The 5,991-nt window shown below is 53.4% G+C and overlaps 1 annotated feature.

Annotated features, from left to right (window-relative positions):
* Positions 790-1,290: an enhancer, noted in NCBI's record as "H3K4me1 hESC enhancer chr13:112127213-112127713 (GRCh37/hg19 assembly coordinates)". NCBI's record gives its function as "activates a minimal SCP1, AML or CMV promoter by ChIP-STARR-seq in primed H9 embryonic stem cells {active_cell/tissue: H9 hESC(primed)}" and the evidence as "EXISTENCE:reporter gene assay evidence [ECO:0000049][PMID:30033119]".

Genomic DNA, 5,991 nt, shown 5'->3' with positions numbered 1-5,991 from the left:
AAAGATACCCCAGTCAGTTCATGTTCACACAAGCAGATTCATCTGTCCACTAAGACAGGGGCCCACCAAACCCCCAGCCAGCTCATCATCACCCAAGCAATTCATCTGTCCACTAAGACAAGGGCCCTCCAAGCCCGTGGGAGGCCTACAGGGCTGGCTCGGCCCTTTCTTAGCTCCTGTCCCTCCTCACTCTTCTGCAGAGCTCACCATGACTTCTTGCTCTTACAGCTCAGATAGTATCTGTTTAAACTTCAAAATATTGATGGCAGAGGCATTACTGCTGCCATTCTAGAGATACAGGAGCAAGATGGACGATCAGGACACTTCCCAGGGTGATCCAGGAATCACGAGTGTGGCTGGGACTTAAGTGCAGCTCTACCTAAAGCCTGCACATCCAGTCACCTCGCCGCCCTCCCAGCCCCCAGCAGGACAGCTAGGCCCACCCTGGGCCACTCTCAGCCCAGAGCTTCTGGAATCAGTATCAACCCAGTAAATAAGATGACAACACGTTAATGGAATCAGTGCCACCCACACGCTTCTGCTGGAACAAGTGGAAAAGAGGCGTGAAACTGTTTCATGAGCAATAAATACAATCCAGAGATGGTCCCTATTTCTAAGGTAAAGTGGCAAAGCATGGGAATTATAGGGATTGCACCCGGGGCCCTCTGCTACCTCCGTCAGCACCATCCCTCCCCTGTCTCCTGGGGTCCTCTCCAGCCTATGGAGAGTCACCCCGACAGCATCCCTGGTGTGGACGCGATGTGGCTCTGCAGTTATATTAACAAATGTTGGCTGGGAGTGGTGGCTCACACCTGTAATCCCAGCACTTTGAGATGCTGAGGCGGGCGGATCACAAGGTCAGGAGTTCGAGACCAGCCTGACCAACATGGTGAAACCCTGTCTCTATTAAAAATACAAAAATTAGCTGGGCGTGGTGGCGCACGTCTGAGTAGCCTCCAGCTACTCAGGAGGCTGAGGCAGGAAAATCACTTGAACCCGGGAGGCGGAGGTTGCAGTGAGCTGAGATCGCACCACTGTACTCCAGCCTGTGCAACAGAGCGAGACTCCGTGTCAAAAAAATAAATTAAAATAAATAAAAATGTCATCGCCCTCAGGCAGAACCACGCTGAACAAAGCCCTGTAAAGCCTCCCCTGTTCCTGCAACAAATCCTGCACAGATGGAGCCCGAGGTGTTGCCGGAAGCAGAGGAACCTGAGTGCTGAGACCCCAGCGTGGGGCCCCTCCCCGGTCCCTCAGCAGCAGCTCCGCGTCCCACGCCTGCACTGCAGTGGCCTCCTGCACAAGCGAGGGTGCCAGCAGAGTTGGGATTGCAAGGCAGGCAAGTTGGGGGAGCTTTCAGAGTCAGGCCTCCCCAAGGAGCCTGGGGACCAGAGCTGCCCATATCAGCACACAGGACCACAGCCTTCTCCGGCACCTCAGCCAAGCCTCAAATCCTAGACAGGACTCCCTTCTCTGGATCCACCTGCCCAGCAGCACATTTATTTTAAGAGGGATTTTACTGACATCTGGTGGCAAGACAAGAAACCTCACTCTTTAGAAATACCAGATCCAGGGATTTAATCAGCCTCCATCAGAGACCATGAGCTCTAGAATAAAAAGGAAGCCAAGAGAAGAAATGCAGGGTTCCAGGACACTCACAGCTCCCGCCTCCCTAACAGGCACCAAGAAAGTGGGTGAAGCCGGAACTCGCTTGTATCCCCTGGCACCTGCGTCCCAGTCCGGCAGCAACGTCGCTTCCATCCACAACAACGAACACCTTTAGAAAACTCCCCAGCTTGGGACAGTGACTCCCTGGAGCCTTGTTCCCGAGCACTCGGGGTTTCCTGACCCCTCACTGGGGCTGCAGCTTCCCTCTGGCGGAGGGGGACCTCGACACTCCCCGAATTGGCCCCTGTCCCATAGCAGGAGGTCTCCTACCAGCCCCACATCAAAGTTGCAGGGAACAAGCACAGGTGACCTTGTGGTCCAAGCGTGAATGGATAGAGCCTTGTTTCACCCCACGACAACATTAAGGTGCAAACACTGGTGTGATTATAAGACATTTTCATGCACCCGTAGCTTATCAATGAAACACTTTAAAAACATGACCAGGCCTCAGTACCAAGTGCAAATCTACACTCACTAATCAGAACCTCCCCCTAAAAAAGACTAGGTCTTGTCTGGACAAAAGGGTAAAAAGTTGGACTTCTAGGCCGGGCGTGGTGGCTCACGCCTGTAATCCCAGTACTTTGGGAGGCCAAGGCAGATGGATCACTTGAGGTCAGAAGTTTAAGACGAGCTTGGCCGACATTGTGAAACCCCATCTCTACTAAAAGTACAAAAAAAATTAGCCAGGCATGGTGGTGGGTGCCCCTAATCCCAGCTACTCTGGAGGCCGAGGCAGGAAAATCAATTACTTGAACCTGGGAGGTGGAGGTTGCCGTGAGCCGAGACTGCACCACCGCCCTCCAACCTGGGCAACAGAGCAAGACTCTGCCTCAAAAAAAAAAAAAAAAAAAAAAAGTTGGACTTCCAGTCCAAAGTGAAGGACTTACTTTTCATTGACAAATGGGACAATACAAAGAGTATGCAGTCTGAACACAGCCATTCACACCCACTTAGACACACTCCTAGAAAATGGGCCCAATGTGAACAGCTGTGCTTGGCTGGGGCTGTTGTAGGTAATCACGTTCTTCATGTACTTTCTACATGTGTACTTTTTCCAGGTTGGCACAGCCCCCTGGCCTCCGCTTCATGCCTGCCTGGCCCCGTCTCATTGCAGCAGGCAGAAGTCCTGGTGGAAAGCCCCTGCTCTCAGTCCCTGCCCTGCCCGCACACGGCCTGCAGTGGGCTCAGCACTGGAAGCTCCTTTGGGTTCCCAAAGTGACTGGAAGCCCTGCAGCAGTGAGTCCTGCCTGATTCTCCCCACGTCCCTCAGGTCTGCCCAGTCTGCAGACAAAGGGCAGTTTGACCTGTTCCACGTCTGCCGCTGCCCATCCAGTGACTGTGCAGGGCTGTGCCAAGTCTGCACCCCCACGTGCACAGCACGTACACAGACATCGGCACCTGCACTCTTGGGGGCAGGAAAGGCATCTCCATGCAAACTGCTCATGGGAAAACACCTGCCTGTCCCCAGCCCTGCTTCCTGACCAGATGCTGATCCAGATGAGCCAGGCCTCCTTCCTGCCCACCCCAAGACTCACCCCCAACCCTGGACCTTCCCTACCCAACAGTCTCTTCCCAGAATGCCATGGGCCACCTTTCAGGAGCTCATTCTCTGCAGGGAGGATCGCTAGAAAATAAATGCATCGTCACAGGTCTCCTGGATGAGCCTTAGACCAGGGTCTGCATCCCAGCTCCTGCGAGACCTAATGTTGGAGTGGGACAGTGGGAACCCACAAAGCCAACAGCCCTAGGAATGCCTCCCTTCCCATTCCCGACAGCGAGACACACAGGAGCAGATGGAAGATTGTTTGCCAACCTCCTTGCAAAGTGTAGCAGGTACAAGTATCAGAGCCGCAGTACCTGAAATCGGTGGGATGCCTTGATTTTCTTTCTCCGTAACTGAAAAGTCACATATTCCACTGACCCGCATTTGCACAAATAGCACGAAACTTCATCTCACCCATCAAAGGTCACTTGGTCCTCTCCAGACTTCAAGGTGGTCGCTGGAACGCATCTCCTTCTCCCAGGAGGCTATCCAGGCTTCAGAATCTTCCACGTTGTCCTTCCAGTTGTCTACAGCCAGTCCTGAGCTGGCCTGGGTCTTCCACTGGCGTTTGCCCCGGGATGCCCCTCACCCTTGCTGACAGCCCTCACCCCATCCCCGCCTGAGGCCGGTGGTCCGTGCCTATGCCCCTTAGCCCATCTCAGAATCCTTGGTTCTCTGTGGCCCATGCGGCTCTTCCACAACCCCCTTGGGGCTCCAGAATCCTGTGTGTCAAGGCAGGTCAGCAGCTGCCCTGGGGCCTTCTTTGGTCACCATCCTTCACTGCCCCTCCAGGGCTGGGCCACTGTAGGCTTCTCGGTGAGGCTGCACCCACCCCAGGAGACCGGACCCTTCTCTGCAGCCCTGAGCCCTTACCCAGGGCCTCCATGGGCTTACTACACCTGGGCTCGGGCCAATCCCCTCCTGTCACCTTTCTCCTTCCAGGCCCTCTTTGATCTTTGGTGCAGCCAGAGAGTCACCAAGGATTCCCTAAGCTGTAGTCAGGGTGTGATTCTGTCCTGGACCCTCATTCTCTGACCTTCCGCAGGCAAAGCCACGTCCGTAGAATTCTTTCCAAATCTTTTCTCTCTCAAACTCTGGCTTTTGAAAATCAGATGTTTTTAGATATCAGTCTTTAGATACTGCCTGTGCAATAGCATTTAATGACCACAGTTTAAAATTTAACAGTGAACAGTGATCTCTTTGCTGTGAGCTAGACTCACCTGAGAATCACGTAGACTGGGATGAGGAAATGGAGGCACCCTGAGAGCAAATCGCAAAGAAGTGCCTGTGCTCAGGGGCCCACGAGGGCTCTGCCGCTGCACTTGCATGGTCCCGAGGGTAAACGCCTCTAACCTGTGCGCACCACGCACCTCCCTCACCTTATGCTGTGCCAGCCGTGCCCCTAGGGCCAAATGCCTGTGACTGGAGGAATGGAGTCTCCAGGGAGCAAAGCAAGAATGACTGGGGTGTGGGGCACGCCAGGTGGCATCTGAGGAGCAGACTCTGCTGCCAGAGGCTTCCAGCACCCCAGGGACATCGTACCCATGTAGAGACAGGGTCTGGAACATGCAGAGATGCATAGATACGTAGACATGGATCTGACACGCATGTGGATCTATAGATGCAGAGACAGGCCAGGACCTGGTCCGTGTACACGCGGTATTGATTCATGTGCGCCCCACACTCCCCTCTGAACTCCTCACTGTGATTTGGGGTGAGGGGGAGGGAAGTGATTGGCCAGTGCACCCTAGCAGGCACATGCGTCCTCTGCTCCAGTCAGCACAGATACTGGGGCGGGGGGGGGCTTCACCCACTTCTGGACAAACCATGGCATCCAACACTGACTGATGTCCGCACCAGGCTTCTCTGGGTAGACTGGAAGCGTTGCGGTTTGGGGACAGTGAGGGAGGTGATGACAAGCTTCTGCCATCATTCTCAGGGGACACCTCATCTGAGCCACAGAACCCAGAAAATGACTGCAGGGATTCACCTTTCAATCCCCCCAGGGATGGTGCATTACAAGCACCATGACAGGTGCTCAGGAGAGAGGCAGATTCTGGCCCCATGTGGATGGAGTGGGCGCTTAGGGCCCCTGTTGGGAACACCTGTTTGGGCGCCTTCTGGAAGCCTAGGAGTGACCCAGGAAGAAATCCCACCTACTTCATCCCGAAGGAAGTGCCACGAACGGGGACTTTCACAGACCCCATGGGTATTGAGAGATCACATTTGCAGATCCAAACCTCCAGTTCTGTAAAATTTAGTAGAGTTTTTGTTTCAGCAATTTTTTTTGCCATAGAAACCATAAAAATTCAAAAGTCATTTTTCAAATATTTCAGATGACAGAGTTCACATACTCTTAAGAGAAGTATATTTATTATTTTATATGTGACCTTCGATGAAAGGACAAGAAAACTTGCTTTGGAGTGAGTGAAGGGTGGGGGATTAGCCGCATGTGTGAGGAGATATGTATATTTTCTCACCAAAGATGTGAAATTAAACTTCTCCTAAACTGTAAAAAGGGACTGAAGAAAAGGCAGGAGAGTCAAATCTGGGTGTTCCAGCTGGAGTCAAACAGGTGGACGGACACAGGCTCTTGGCCAGGAGCCATGGTTCAAGGCTCACGGTGCGGGGTTGTGTTCAATCCACCAGGCCCTGTCCTGACCTTGGGCAAGTTGCTTCCCCTCTCTGAGTCCTGCTTCCCTGACTGTAAAAATGAGATCAGCCCCCATTGCTCCACTGTTGCTTGTCTCAAGCACTGAGACGGACAGGCAGTCTGTGCT

This window comes from Homo sapiens, chromosome 13 (genome assembly GCF_000001405.40).
Source record: "Homo sapiens chromosome 13, GRCh38.p14 Primary Assembly".
Lineage (NCBI taxonomy): Eukaryota > Metazoa > Chordata > Mammalia > Primates > Hominidae > Homo > Homo sapiens.
Note: the sequence above shows the minus strand (reverse complement) of the source record. Positions and strands in the feature narration are given on the sequence as shown.